Source organism: Homo sapiens, chromosome 14, assembly GCF_000001405.40.
Source record: "Homo sapiens chromosome 14, GRCh38.p14 Primary Assembly".
In the NCBI taxonomy this organism is placed as follows: Eukaryota; Metazoa; Chordata; class Mammalia; order Primates; family Hominidae; genus Homo; species Homo sapiens.
In genome coordinates, this window is record NC_000014.9 from 89,173,714 (window position 1) to 89,189,688 (window position 15,975).

General features: G+C 46.4%; 1 protein-coding gene across 2 annotated transcripts in view, besides 2 other annotated features; it reads right to left on the reverse strand.

The window, feature by feature from the left end:
• Window positions 1–15,975, reverse strand: part of FOXN3 (forkhead box N3) — a 462,989-nt gene that overhangs the window by 17,537 nt on the left and 429,477 nt on the right. For both annotated transcript variants that reach the window (NM_001085471.2, NM_005197.4), the window contains one exon: window positions 6,988–7,093. In NM_001085471.2, the coding sequence (NP_001078940.1) occupies window positions 6,988–7,093 (106 nt within the window). The remainder of the gene's footprint in view (window positions 1–6,987; window positions 7,094–15,975) is intronic.
• Window positions 1,484–1,985: an enhancer, noted in NCBI's record as "H3K27ac hESC enhancer chr14:89641541-89642042 (GRCh37/hg19 assembly coordinates)". NCBI's record gives its function as "activates a minimal SCP1, AML or CMV promoter by ChIP-STARR-seq in naive H9 embryonic stem cells {active_cell/tissue: H9 hESC(naive)}" and the evidence as "EXISTENCE:reporter gene assay evidence [ECO:0000049][PMID:30033119]".
• Window positions 14,641–14,825: a silencer, noted in NCBI's record as "fragment chr14:89654698-89654882 (GRCh37/hg19 assembly coordinates)". NCBI's record gives its function as "represses an EF-1alpha promoter that drives an FKBP-Casp9 reporter gene in an ReSE screen in K562 erythroleukemia cells {active_cell/tissue: K562}" and the evidence as "EXISTENCE:reporter gene assay evidence [ECO:0000049][PMID:32094911]".

The window sequence follows — 15,975 nt, forward strand, 5'->3', positions numbered from 1 at the left end:
GGCACTGTGGCTCACACCTGTAATCCTAGCACTTTGGGAGGCTGAGGTGTGTGGATTGTTTGCGCCCAGGAGTTCGAGATCAGCCTGGGCAACATGGCAAGATGCCATCTTTACAAAAAATAGAAGAATTAGCCAGGAGTGGCGGTGAGTGCCTGTAGTCCCAAACACTTGAGAGGCTGAGAGGTGGTAGGATCACTTGAGCCCGGGAGGATGAGGCTGCAGTGAGCCGTGATTGTGCCACTGCATTCTGGTGTGGGTGACAAAGCGAGACCCTGTCTCAAATAAATAAATAAATAAAAATAAAAAGACAGTAGCCTCCCCAAACTGTAAAGATGAACACTACGAAGAATGATAGGAAATACTAAGGAGCATGCAGAGAATCATTTAATACAAGTTGCATAAAATACTTCTCACCAGGTATCAAATTCTACCTAGGAGAGAGATGCCATTTAGGTCATTAAACTGATTTAACTTGTTAATTTACAGCTCTTCCCTACCTTTTTCACAAAATCCAGTCTAATTCTACCTGTGCCTCGGCTGTAAAATCAAGGTGAGGTTTAAGATCCCTTCCAGCAGCCCTAGAATTCTGCAATCTGGCAGATGCATGGCTAAAAAGGTAAAGGACGTCCAGGGGCCAGGTGGTCAGCTCTAAGAGTTCTAACTCAGTGGTAATATCCAGGGGGACCACAATTTTCTCCCATGAGCTGCAAACTGCTCCCCTAAACCACTGAGATAAACATGATTTCCTTTTTGCAAGAGATCACACAACACAAATAGGAGTGATCCTACAACTCTCCTCCATGAATTGTTTTGCATTTACAACAGTCCAGAATCATTGGGAGTTTGGAGGATTTCTAGGTACAACATGAAAAGGAGCCACCAGGACTTTCAAAGGCATTAACGAACGTCATTGATATGAAATATGAGGAGCAGCTCTAGAATGTTGATCAAATTTCACAGTTTGCTGGTCGTTGTTTAAATTTCTGGACCAGAAGGGCCCAAAACAAAAACTACGCTCGCTGAAATGGGCCCAGGAGGGAATTCAGTGCATGCTTTGTGTAACTGGGATTCTTTCCCCACTTTCCCTTAAACCTAGCTCTTTAGTATTTTCTCTTCTCCTCCCACTACAAAGCAAAATCTAATACTGAGTTTTGTAATTGCCTTCAAAGACCATGATTTCAAAGACAAAGGCCAACAGGTGTTTGGTCTTTACATACAGAACAAAATACAACACTAGAAAAGATCAGCAGCCAATTTACCCTCAAGTTACATAATTGGACAACAACCCTATCTTAATACTAAAGGTTGCCACCTTCCTACACTACTGAAACAAACATCTTCTCAAGGGAGGAGATAAAGACAGCTGATCCGGAGCAGAACTTAGGCTGAGAGATGGGTTTTCCCGATGATTCTATTTTGACATGACCTTAAGAATTAATGTTTGCTACTACAGTCAGACCATTAATGCCTGACTTGCTTCATGTTCCATGGGAAGTGCAGTTTTTCACTTGAGGTTGCTGGAGATCCAAATAAAATTAAGCAGCCTTAGACGGTGATTGGATGAAACTCTCATATAATTTGGCAACAAATAGGGTGATCTAGACTTGTAGTCCAGATTATGGCCAGCACTCTTCAAAGCCAATGGCTTTGCCAACAAATGTACTCTGTGCTGAAAGGTGGCATGAATTTAATTTAAGCCTTCTCCTAAGGTTTTGGGGTACCTGAGGTTCCAGTGCTCAGGAAGGAAACCTGGGAAGGTCTGTGAGAGACAGGCTAGGTGAATCCATGAGGCTTTCCATGTTACTTATTTATCAAACACCTACAGAATGCTGACTATGTGCTGGGCACACAGCTGTGTGTGAATCCAAATAACACATGAGGCAGACACACGTTTCCTCTTGAGAAGCCCATGGGCACTTCCCTGAGGTCACACGGCTGCAGGAGATGGACCGAGGAAATGTGGTTCCTGAGTTCACGTACGTATTTTGTTGGTTCAGTTGCTACAGAACAGGCCTTCCCCACATCAGCTTTTTCCCAATCCTCCAGCGAGCCCTGGACATGTCATTCTTTTCTGCCACCTGATGAGGCATGTAGGGATCAAAAAGAGCCCTAAAGGTTAAAAGCAAGGTGGCTGAGATCCAGGGAGGTTGCTGTGACCCAACCCAGGGTGTGGGACAGCCCACGATGCTGTGAATGTAAGAAACCTGGGACTCCTCCTTCCCAAGAAGGCCAGCAACAGCTCTCCCAGGGCTATCCATCATGGGTTCCATTCAATGCAATCTCTGCAAGGGATTTTCCTGGGAAAGCAGCCGAAGACACAGGCATAAAACTTTAAGATGTGTGAGTAGTTATTTTGAGGATGATGTGTCTTGAGGACTTGACGCCCAGGCAAATTTAAAAATAAGCAGGTTTCCAACGTCTAAGGATGGGCCAATCTTGGAGGTTATTGAGTAAAAAGTCAACACCGTAAAGTCAATTACACTATTGACAGATACTCTTACAAGGAGATTTCACATCATAATTATATGCAAAGGAACCTGGCAAATAGAAGCTGTGTAATGATCAGCTAATAAAAGTAACACTTCATCTATGTCAATAACAGTTTCAGAGTTAAGACAAACAAACATGGCCTTTGCCACTCTGTGGAGGAAAAAAAAATCCCTGAAAGACAAATATTTTCACTTAAGGAGAAGTCGCTTAGATTCACAAGGAAAACCTGTCACACAAAAGAGAGTGGGAAATTGGTCTTTAGTGGGTGCTAATGACTCTCCCGCCCTCCCTGGGCCCCAGCTGAACAGACTGGGGCAGCAACCCCTGTAAACATCTGAGCACACACAGAATACTTGGGCACTGCCACGTGGTCTGGGAGATAACATTCTGTGTTGTTCTAGTCTCCACTGCACTGCTTTCCTTTTTAGCCTTGGCTGAGTTTGGGTTCCACTGACATGTGGCCAAATTAAAAATGTTAAAATTATGATGAATGTGAAAATGCAAAACAAGATGTTTTTCCCCAAGCACTTCTTAATGGGTTTTACACAGACACTGATTAGGCAGATGCCTCCATAGCTATGTTTGTGTTCCTTCTTTCCAAAAGCATCTCAGTGTCTACTACCTGCCCTACAAAAAGAGGGCAAAGATACTACAAGCAAGTACCCCTAATGTTCCAGAGCTTACTACCCCTCTTCCCCTAATTTCCCTTAAAACTGAGGGGGGCAAGTTCAGAATTGGTATTTGGACAATTAACTGCTAATGCACAATGGTTTTCTTTACTGGTTATCTCTCTCTCTCTTTCTTTCTTTTTTTTTTTTTTTTTTTTTGACAGAGTCTTGCCCTGTTGCCCAGGCTGGAGTGCAATGGCACAATTTCGGCTCACTGCAACCTCCACCTCCTGGGTTCAGGCGATTCTCCCATCTCAGCCTCCTGAGTAGCTGGGACTGCAGGCACATACCATCACACCCAGCTAATTTTTGTACTTTTAGTAGAGATGATGTTTCACCATGTTGGCCAGGCTGGTCTTGAACTCCTGACCTCAGGTGATCTGCCTGCCTCGGCCTCCCAAAGTGCTGGGATTACAGGTGTGAGCCATCGTGCCCGGCCTCTTTACTGGTTATCTGTTTATGCAAATCGTAACTTGCCTAGCTTCTGCAAACTATGGTTTCACATTTTACCAAAATGATTTTGTTCAAAACTCCTATGATGCTCAGGAAAGTCACTCCTTAATTAGACTATACATCCTTTTGTAGTGGACAGAGATGAAGCAAGCTGTGCCATTACAAAGCTATTGCCACTCAGTCTCAAACCCACCCTTCTACTCTGTTTCCCAAACTGGGGCTGGGGCTGGGGCTGGGGCTGGGGCTGGACTTTACCACTGGGTTCCATGTGAGGCTCCGCCACCAGGGGGTGCCATAGAGAGACTGAGAAGGTGGTGGAGAAAGATAGAACTGGCTCCTGCCTGTTTCCTGTTCTTGTGCCACCCAGCAATGCCTCTGTACCTCAGCAGCAGCATTCATTCTCGGAGGTGCCAAACCCAGTTTGCAGTTTTTCCAGCACTTGCAGAACTGTGTTCCCTTAGGGGCACCAGCACCATCAGAGGCTGCTTCCTAGTCCCTGCCCCCCACGCAAAGGTGAGTTTCAGCTCCATGGGGTGATCATTCCAACCTCTTCCCTTTGTTCCGTCAACCCTAGAGGTGGTAGCTGCCTCCTGCAATGACTCTCTCCATGATACCCTGAGTCATCTTTTACCCTTTCAGTTACCTAGTTAATAACTTCCTACCTGGTTCACAGCTTTGCTTTCTTTCTAATCATTTTGATTTTTACATGGTCTCACTCTGTCACCCAGGCTGGAGTGCAGTGGAGTAATCTCGGCTCACTGCAGTCTTGACCTCCCAGGCTCAAGGGATCCTCCCACCTCAGCCTCCAGAGTGGCTAGGTCACAGGTGTGTGCCACCATGCCCAGGTCATTTTTTTTTTTTTTTTAAATAGAGATAAGTTTTCGCCATGTTGCCCAGGCTGGTCTCAAATTCCTGAGCTCAAGTGATCCACCCGCCGGAGCCTCTCAGTGTTGGGATTACAGGCGTGAGCCAATGTGCCCGGCCTCGGCGAATTTTTAAACTTTTTGTAGAGCTGGGATCTCCCTATGTTGCTCAGGCTGGTCTTGAACTCCTGGCCTCAAGTGATCCTCCTGCCTCAGCCTCCCAAAGTGCTGAGATTATAGGCATGAGCCACCACACCCAGCCCTGGTTAACATTAAAGTCTCTCTGTTCAATTACTTGGTGTGGTTTCTGTCTCCCTACTGAACCTGTCTGATACACAAGTTTGGCTCAGAGGCTGTCTTGTTTTCTTTTACTCTGGAAGGAGCCCAGCTGAGGCACTCAGTGGACTGCATGAGTGGCAACTTTCAACAGAAACAAGACTGTTTGCTGCAGTGCTTTGTTATTCTCTAACTAGAAAGAAACCATCGGTAGTTGAAATAACACCTCAAGAGGGAACTAATCAGTAAAATTTGTCATCATAAATGCCATGAGAGTAAGAATTAAAATGAGAAGGCGGCTCCTGTTGAAGGTCCACCTGTTGTCCGCCTGGCTTTTCTGTGCCCTTCTATAAGGTATGGCTGGGCCCATAGTGAAAGCTACTCTTGAAGGCACTAAAAAAAATGGTCAAGAGGATAAACTGTAAGTCTATATTTAGAATCTGCTAATAAAAATACATTGTTGCTCCAAGCAAAAATAGTTCACAGTCTCCAAGTCTTCTCAACCAAGAAGGTAAACTATGAGGCAACACAGGAAAGATTTTAAGAAAGAATGAAAAACAGAGTATGTCTTTTTCATAAATGTGAGGTAAGAGCATTGGAATTTTGGCTTCATGGAAAGAGGCTTACCACTTAGGAACTCAAGAATTATTGACCTGAGAGTAGCCAGGAAAGATACCGGGGAGGTACAAGAAAAACCTTTCCATGTATTTTTGGAAAATATCCCCTTGTCAGATTAGTAGAAATGATAAGTGGTTTTATAATTTGTTGCTATTCTAATTGCTAACAACTTCCCATCTTATCAGAACCTATAGACCTTTGCTCTGAAGATTATGCGACTTGTCCTGACAACAGCAGGAGGAGTTAAAAGACAAGCTCGTGGAGAAGCTGCACGCGGCAGGGGAGTTTGACCTTGCTTCTCCCTCAGGCCCAGCTAAACACACTTTCTGGGTTGGTTTCCTTTTGGACATGAAACACTATGAAAGCAAAATGGCCTTCAGGTGCAAACTTGATCCGTAAACGCAGAAGGAGAGGGATGGTACCTTCAAGGGATGCAGCTCAGTGAGACAGGCTTTTTCTAAACAAGCAACCAGGACCTGGCACATGCAATAGTGATGCGGCATCAGACAACTGATTGAGAGCTAGCCCTCATCCTCAGGACACAAAGCACCCAGGACAGAAAGGGACACACAGAGAAACTGCTACCATACAGGGTCACTCATTGAAGGGCTAAAGCATGGGGCTAATCGGTTCACGGCAAAGAGAAGTTTCTCTGATGCTGGTTCCCAGACCACATTAAAAAAAGCATTGGGAAGGGATCATCTTTTGTGTCAGATTTTGAAGGACGTGCTGCCTTACATATGAGGGTGAGGGGAATCTATGCAGACAAAACTGTATGAATAAGATGGGCCAATACTGGGCATATTTGGGGAACACATTTGGCTCGAGGAGAAGGAAGGACTATCAGGGTGATGCAGGGGCAGTCACAGAAGGTGCTTCTGCAGACAGCTAGAGGGGCACGGAGTTAGGAAACTGGTCTGGCAGTGGTGGATGGATGGGCAGGAGTGGGTGTAGAAGCAGCTGGCGGATGGGAGGAGGCTCCGCCAATGGTGCCTATGAGGGCCGCAGGCTGGCGGTGGACCCTGATCCGGGGCTGACAGTGGAGATGGAGAGCATGGAGGAGAGAAATGTCCCAAGGAAGGGTTCATGCGGTTTGGCAGCTGGCCTCATTCTTGGAAGCAGGGGAATGATGCCACCTGCTATTTATAGACCACGTACCAAAGCTCGCCTCACATCTGATTTTGCATTTGATTTTCCCCGCAACCCCTGGTAGGAGGCAGGAGTTTCACAGATGAAGGAACTGAGCCCAGAGTCACAGGACAGGGGAGGGACAGGACTGGGTCTTGCGCTAGGCCCGTTAGCCTAGAATCCAATTAATATCCTGCCTTCTGTTTTCTTCTGCCCACCTCTTACCCTGCCTTCTTAGAATAAAAAACTTAACTTGCCTCCATCTCCTCATCTGTAAAGAGACCAGGATCATCTGGTGGCCCGAGAAAGAGAAGGGGGCATTTGGATTGGGAGTTCTTGGGGTTACTTTCACATTTCTGAGCACGCAAACCAGGTTTATTGCTGTCACTAGTTCGAAGCAGCTCCTCTCTGTCTCCAGAAGGGACCCCGTGGACAGAAAGCTGCCCTTCCCACTCCCCAGGCTGGCTCTGCCCAGCGCACTCCCCACTTACCTCATGGCCGCTGTCACCCCAATGGGAGTGATTGGCAGCGGCCGCACGCCAGGAAACAGCCCTCGGCTCAGGACCCGCGCTCCATTTTGGATCACTCCTGGAGGAACTGAAAAAGCAAAGGGGAGAAAGACACCGCACGTGAATTCAACTGTGAAGATTTCCGTTCCAAGTCAGAAATTCTGGATAGACCAATAAGAGAGAGAGAGAGACAGAGGGCAGAGACAGAGAGAAACACACACACACACGTGCACATACACACACACACACACAGTCACACAGACATGCACAGACACACACTCACACAGTCATGCACGCGCACACACACACACATGCAGACACGTACGTACACCTGCACATACAGACATGCACACACACACGTGCACACACACACGGGGAAACAGAGACAGAAAAAGATACCCAGAGAGTAAGACAGACAGAAAGATAATCTGGTAAGTAAAAATCAGACTAGTAGCTCGCAACCAAAGGATTAATGCCTAGGTTAAAAAAAAAAAGTGAGTTTTCAAAAGTAGGCTTCAAATAGTATTTTCTCACATTTATTAAACATAACCTTTTACCTTCAGTCAGAACCTAACAACAACTCAAAAACCCCAACACTGTAGGAAAGACACCTGGTGACCAACAAAAGCACCTCCCCATGCTTTGCCATGGGCAGAAGCTCAGAACATCTTTCCATTTATCCTTAATCCAACAAGGGGAAAAATATGACCCAAATTATCTCTCGTAAAAGCCGATTTTAAAAGCTACTTGGCATCTCAGCACGCACCACACAGTTCATCCCCCCAGGCGATCCTCGTGGCCTGAGGAAAGGCCCCTCCCCGGGGTATCCTCTCAAGCAAATCTCCTGAGAAGTCGCTCCTCATCCCACCTTCTCCTAAACACACGCATCCCTGGAGCAACCCTAAGTTCCCCTTTCACCAGCAACCATCAGATCTTGTCCATTCTCCATACAAACTCCAAGATCTCCACACCAGCCTGATTTTGTCTGAGGGTTACCTAAGAGGAGAACCGCAGGGAATCCCTGATGTAACCTTTTCTAACCCTCCAAACAGCAATTTCATCTGGTCCAAGCTAATATTCTGCCATCTGCTACATCTACCAAAAACCCTCCCTACGTCTGAGGGGCAGGGGAGCATCACTAAGTGAGAACACGGGTGAGCTTTCATCTGAGTTCTCTTGTGTGACTCTGTGCAGGTCTGTGGATCTCTGTTTCCCTCTCCGAACACTGTTCTTCTAAGACCCTGTCTACCATCATGGGTTCAAGACTCCCCAGAGCTCTGGCTGTGCCCATATAGTCCCTGGCACAGTCTCAGATAGTGGCAAGGTGGGTAAATAGTGCTTTTTCAAACAAAGACCGTTGAAAAGGCTCTAGAAAATTATGTATTCCAAAATGAAAACCACTCTGGACATTAGGTGTGTAAGCCAATATTATATAGGTAGAATAAATGCTTTTCATAAAACACATTGCCATACTTTTTACTTACATAATTTTTAGGTATCTAAGGACATGTTTTCAAACCTTGAATCAAACATCATGTAGGATGAATGTCCACTATTGAATACGGGGTAATTTTACAGACTGTCAATTCTTTGGGCATTCTGCACTTCTTGCTAATAATTTTTGCCATTTATTTTCCTGGTTTGCGTAAGGCCTTTGTTACTAGGTCTTACAAAAGGTGGGATGGGTGACAGAATGGAAACTCTCGCCTAAGTCAGTACTACTATTACAGTCCAGGGTTCCATAATCTCCCCCGTCACTTACCCTAATTAATTGTGAGAGCAGGCAGACCCAGATCAGTAGCTCCTACCATTCCTGATTATCAGCCTGATTTCCGCTAACAGACCACCTTATCTGAGGCAGGAGACTTACCAAGTATCTTTAAATCACAGAACTGTTAGAATGTGGTATGCAGCGAATTATCATGTCTTACACAGTTGATGAATTCTCTATAAGGAAGAATGTCTAAAGTTTATATTACCTAATTTATCTTATCTGATTTTCAAGATTTCCTATAAAGTTACAGGAACCAGGACACTCTCATACTGGCGTAAGTCTAGACATATAGACCAATCGAACAGAAGAGCATTCGGAAATAGACTCACACGCATGTGGTCAACGGATTTTTGACAAGGGTACTGAGATAATGCAAGGAGGGGAAAGCAAGTGTTAGAACAACCAGAGATCCATTTGGGAAAAAAATGAACCTTGAGCCTTACACCTCATACCACATATAAAAATTAGAAATGGATCATACACCTAAATGTAGGAACTAAAACGATAAAACTTCCAGAAGAAAATATAGGAGGAAAAATAGCAATAATTCTCAAGGACAGACATATGTAGAAGACAGCAGAACTCTTGTAGATAGATCCTTTGGATGAAATCTATGTGTGTTGTCTAAAACGATAGGCTTTTTGTTTGCCTGTTTTGGGGATTGTGGGAGAGGGTTTCCATAATTGTGGTGTACGGCAGTCTCCTAGAAATGGTCAGATAGCCACAGGTTCAGTTGAATTCTGATCTAATATATCCGTCACTAGGGATCTCAGGTAGAGCAACAACTTAGTCTGATATAATGAACCATGCTGATAAATAACAGAAATATTTAAAATCTCTAATACAGTTGTAATTCACGTCAGTAAAAATTATTACACTCCCATATACAGTCACTAAAACTTTTACCAAGTACTTTCCTATATATTAGATGATGGGGATATAAGGTAACTACAAGCAAGAGGGAGGGGGAGATAGAGCGAGAGAGAGAGAATGAATTAAGGAGGCAATGAAAATATACTATGGTACATGCTAGGACAGGGGGCCTAGAGGCAGAAAGGATGGAGACACCTAACCCAAACTAAGGGGTATTTGGGAAGGCTTCCTTCCTGTAGGAAGTGTCAACTAAACTGGAGTTCAAAGGCAGAAAAATGGCACATACAAAGACCTGGAAGTGATTTTTTAATGATGCAGAATGTGCTCAAGAACTAAAAGGCTGCTTTTGGACAGCACACAATCCTAGCAGAAATGAGATGTGTTTGGACTTTATCCTATGGGTAGTGGGAAAACCATTAAAGGGTTTTGAGCAGAGAAGTGCCCTGCGCTGCAGCAGCTGACAGCCAGGCTCTGCAAACCAACCTAGGTCTACATCTCATCTCTGTCAATTATTGATCGTGTCCCCTGAGCAAGCTACTTAAACTCCTTAAGTAAGATGGGGGACAAAAATGATATTTACCCAGGGTCTCTGGAGACTTAGCTGAGTTACGGAAGGCACGAGTATTTGGAAAATACATGTTGGTCATCAATATCGTCATCATCAACATGATCAACATCCACAGAGGAATCCTGAGGCGGCCTGTGCTTTCTCTACTTCAGAGGAGCTGAAAACCCATAAGGAACAGAATGGGACAGAAACCAGACCATGCTGGAAGAATGTAGCCATCTTCCTGGTGACAGAGTTGCTGGAAGAGCAACAGATGCTGTTATGGTGCTTCTGCTCCCCTTGTGCATAGCATGTCATATCAGAGCCACCCTTGCAGCAAAAACACCCAAAACACGTAAAGTTGGACAAAGATGAGGGAAGCCCTGGAACAGGAGCAGAGCAAATCCAAGTTAGGGAGCGCAAGTTCTTCTTAACCCTAGCATGGTTGTCAAGCCATCTGCCAATCAAGGAAGAAAAGCACCCCTGGGGAGAGTGTGGCATGACAGAGTCCTCTGCCCAAATACTCAGAACATGTAAGCATCAGGCGCATGGCCAGCAGAGAGGAAAACTAGGAAAGGAAGCCAGTCGTCACCAAGTTCCTACTGGAGACCACGTTCTTTGGATGTTCCTTGTCTCACGGAACCCTCAGGGATGAGGTATACTGCAGTGGTTAAGAGTGTGAGCTCTGAGCCACACAGCCTCAGTTTGGCCTTGCCCCGTTACTGGCTCTGTGGCCTTGGCCTAGTGCCTTCACCTTCCTGGGTCTCCATTTCCTCACTGGTGAAGGAGGCTTAAACATACCTTGCAGGATTGCTCTGGGGATGAAATAAGATAAGCTAGGTCAACGGCTTAGCTCAGTGGCTGGCTCGTTATGTAAGCTCATCATCGTCATCGTCACCGTCATCCTTCTGCCATCCTATATCACCTCTCCAGCATCCTCTTACTAATGATCTACAAGGATAGGGCTGAAAGGGGTCCGGACATGGGGAAATACTTTCAGCCCATTATGCTTTTTGTAGTTATTCCTAACTGCATTTACCTATTAAAACATCTTCCTGATTAATGAACAGCATTCACTTCAAAGAGAATCTCATGGACAAAGCTCTCTTGCAGCATTAATAGGCTTTCCCTGAGCTATTTCCTGAACCTCACAAGACTCCTGGCATGTAGACTCAGCTCTTCCTCTGAATCCTGCAGCTTGTTCTCAAATGAGCTGCAACTAAATGCTGCCTCTGCCAACCCTGGCACTTCTCCGTCCTCATCATTGGCAGTCTTCTCCATGGAGAGATGGCGGATGTGCTCGTGTTTGCTCACCAGCTGCCAGAAGCCAGCTGTGACACTTAACTATACCCCTGTCTTTCTCCTTTCTGTCCCCATCCCCAAGTGTCAGGAACGTGGCTTCTGAAGAACAAGTCACAGCCAGTCTAAAATGGCTCTGTTAGAGAAAGGCATTCTGAGGCCCACAGTTCACTACTCTACATTAGGAAGCTCGGTGGGAACATGAGTCCATTCTTCAGCCTTTTCTCTACCAGCAAATCTACTCTTTCCCTTCCTTTTACTCTGTTTCCCTCAGAGCATATTAAGACACCGAAAGACCAAAACCTTTACAGCCAATCTGACGCACCTGATGTACTGAAGTGCACTGGCCTCCAGCTATGTAAGACATCAAAAGGGCTGGACGTTGAAAGTCAACTTCTTCCTCGGATTTGTGGCTCTCTCCAGACAAGGCCCAGGCCTCTAGCATCATCCTTGCAGGTTAGGCCAGTTACGTATTTATCTTTTAGATGAGAGAATACCCACCCCTGAGGCTCTCAGGATGAGGGACATTGGCGCCACACTTCCCCACACTTGCCATCAGCCACGTTCTCTGCAGTTAGAGAGGGACTCTTAAGCTTTCTGGTTTTAACTAGCAAGAGGGCAACCTTCACACATAAGAAGAGAGCCAAACAGAGCAGCACTGCTCATTGTAGATGCTATGTTCTAAATGGGATAACGCAATCCTGAGAATCTTAAAAAGAAAAAAGTCTAAGGTCCAAGACAAACTCCTCCACGCTACATTGTCCCTCAGCACTTCCCCAGCTCCCCTCCTGAGGCTTAGCTTCCTTGGTTTTTCACAACTTCTAAAATTAACCTCTGAGCTCTTGCCGCTGCCTTTGGAGGGCAGCCCTGGCTAACTCTCTCAGAGGCCATAAGCTGAGCAGCAGGTGATTCCGCTAATCCTTCCCTTTCCTAAAGTCAGCCTTTCCACCTGCTTACTTGGAAGCACACTGGGGAGGGGGCTGGCACGGGGAGACACAGCCTATTTCCTAGTTGTCTTCCCTCTGCTGTGCCTGGTGTGTCTGACATACATCCCAGTTCCAGGCAGGGGGAGGAACGCCTTCCCCCAATCCCTCCCCTTCCCTCGTTCCATTTTGTTGTTTTGTTTATTATCTAGTTTGTCTCTGGGAACCTTCCAACCAGGGATTATATAAGCCTTTGAAGATGAGTAATGGAGATCTGGCTTCTCCTGACTAACAAGTCCTCCATTGGGGTTAAAGCTGACTCACGGGGCTTGTCAAACGGGAACTGCAAAGCAGGTACTGAAGGAGATACTAGAAGCTGGAATGAATCTACATAGCCATTTTGAGGGTGGAGAGGGTGGGGTAGGCAGATGGATTTGACTGGAGCATAATCCAAAGTCCAGGGGGTAATGAGCCAGCCATGTCCCATGCTGACTGTTCTGAAGGCAGCATCCTATAGAGCGCGTGAGACATGGTGGCTCTCCTTGCAGAATGTTTCCTATGCTGCAAACGGGCAAAGTCTAAAAGGGCTAATGTCACATGCACAGCGGATGCTGCCAGGAGGACAAAATGTTGTAGCCTGAGGTTTTTATTAGGTGCACACTGCCGCTGCACTGCAAGTGAAGCATTAGACTGAAATGAGAGGTGGAGGGACCCCTAGGGACTCCAGCCCAAGCAAGACATGGTGTGCTGGGCTCCCTTGGGGCAACACGGACCCTCCAATGATAAAGAGGCTTGCTCTGCCTGGGGCTCTCACCAGAGTCTGAGCCATTTCCTTTGTGCAACCTAGTCAGCTTCAGACCCTGGACTGTGGCCAGTCTGCCGGCCTTGAGCTACCTTTACAGATGCTGAGCAAGGGTAGGAGGAAGAGAAAAGATCTAAGTGGCTGCCATCTGGTGACCTGGAGTGGCTATGAAGGGTGAGGACAAAGGAAAAGCCTTCCAGCTATCCAGGCCAGCCTCTATCTGCTGGGAGCAGAACAGCAGCAGAGACTAGGTTGGTGGCCCCCATGCAAGCAGGGGCATCTAGCAGCCCAAGAGGTGAAAACAAGGGGCTATAAATAGCACCGCACGAGGAAGCTCTATCAACAGAGCCCAGCCATAGCACCAGCCCACGGGGGAATACAGGCAGGCTCTGCGCAGACAGGAAATGTGTTGCTCTCCGAAGCCACACTCTCCACTCATGGGCAGTGGCAGGACCCCTCAACCTAGAGAAGACCTGGGATATATCCACACTGGGACACAGGCACACAAACACCCCTACATAGGCTGCCCACACACCATCACTGTGGCTGGCTGGCTGTTGCCTTTAACCATTTTTGCACAGGAATAGCCTCTCACTTTTTCCAGGCCTTGGGCGATGCCGGCAGGGCAGGGGATGACTGCCTAATCATTCTGCCTGTAATGCTTCTCCCTTAAGAAGGCAAAGGACTGCCTCAAATCCCAAGGCAAATAACGTTATGCAATATAAAATGAAAAGAAAGGTGGCGGGGGTAGGGGGCACGGAGAAAGAGTGAAGCCAGAAAGAGCTAACCACAAGCTGCAGATACATTCCTCTGGTTGGGTTTATGGGGAGGATGGGCCAGCTGGCTTCCCAAGTGCACAGAGAAGACGCTCCATGCATCTTCACTCCCTTGCTAAGGAACTGCTCCAATCCTTGGGGTCCTTACAACCTGCTCCTTGACTGTACTTGCCCTTGACCTCCAGGGCATTGAACCAGGGCTGGCGGTCAGATGGGACGGTGAATGCAAAGGTAGACTCCCTACTTTCTGCCCAGTCTTCACATTTACTTCTCTGTTATTCCTGTCCATGAGCGTCTCCTTCTGTGACCTTTGTAGGCACCCCGGGTTCTTTCCTTCCACTGTCTTGGAGCCCCGTTCTTGGCCTGGGGCTTTCATGAAGGCTGTGGCTGGATTTCTCACACAGCGGTAATAGCCTTCTAAAAAAAAGCCTTCTAAAAATGAGCCTACAGCTTCAAAACATGAACACTGAGCTTGTAAAACTCAAATTCAGCATTTCAATGTAAATAGGACCGTGGCTACCCTGGAAAAAGAAGTATTTACAGTCTGAGTATTACAGAGTTGGAGAGGGGAGGCGAACACTGAAAACAACTCACTTGTCAACTCATCAGGAGAAGCCTTTTTCCTTTCCTACCTATGCTCAAGAATCCAGTAATCATGGACGTTTATGGAAGCTGCTGAGGATCTGTGAAGGATCAATCAGTCCCCTTGCCTGGCTTGGTTTCATTTCAAAGATATTCCAGGCTCCAGCAGGCCTGCTTCACCAGACTCTTCTCCAAAATGGCAGCTTGGTGATGAGGTCCCAGAAGAGACAGAAATTTCTAAAAATGGGTACTGCTCCGGTCCATTACGTTTAAGCTGGCCCCATATAGCCTCTTCTAGCAGAAGGTCATGGTCCCATTTTCCCTCTGAACTTCAGCAACCAGCTGGAAGTATTTTTGTGAAACTAATGATCACTGTGTAGTGGCTGGGTGCAAAGGAAGGTGCTCGAATCTTACATGGCTCTGATGAAATCAGTATGTTTCCACTGGGTTGAGTTATGCAACTTAATTTTAGAAATCTTTTCAGCCTGGAACTTGATTACAATCTGGTCTGTACTTTTCCTGCAATGCCATCTAAGAATGGAAGTTTATTTAAAAAAAAAAATTTAAAAACATATACATTTCTCTGAAATATGAAACATCATTTAAAAACCACACTCCAGGTTAACTGCTAGTTATAGAGCTAGGCCAGTGACACATCTGCTTAGCAGTGGTGTTTGCATGTCAGAGGTGTAGGCAGCCCAACATTGCAATGGCTGGAGGTCTGAGTTTGGAAAGAGAGAATCAGAACTCTAGACTGTTCGGAACAGGTAATGGCAGCTCCAGGCAGAGGAACAAGTCTCCCTGAGAATGCTCAGCTGAATTTCTTGGGTCTTTTAAAATAGGAACAAATAAGAAAGGTTGGAGTCAAATATCCTAAAGTTGTCAGGAAGGCTGGGACAAGCAGAGGGGCTATGACGGATGGCCTGGAACTCCACGTAGTCCAATACTAACAAAAGGCACCTGTTTTGGGTCTGAGGATGGATGTTTTCCTGTGTGAAGTAGCATCCACTCCAAAGGCAGGGACTTCCCACTGCTCAGCAAGCCATGTGGCCCTCAGAGAGCCAGAACCCAAAATGAGCTGAAGGCCTAGCCATAAGAAGGAGATAGGTGAGTGCCAGCCCCTAAGCGGTGGTGTTGTAGTGGCGTCTGCTGCTTCATGTCACTATTTCCTCACTACCGTGTTTCATCAGTAAGAGGCTGTAACACAGCAATGTCCTAACAACAAGCTGAGCAGACCTTGGTAAACCAGCTGTCTGTGTGTTCAACAGGGTTCTAGCTGGGTATGGGATGTGGGCACTGGTACTGACCTCGAGTGGGGAGAAGGAAGGGACAGATATCTTTGTTTGAAGTCACTCTTCATCCCTTGGGAAGAGATCTTTCTAAAACCATGGTAG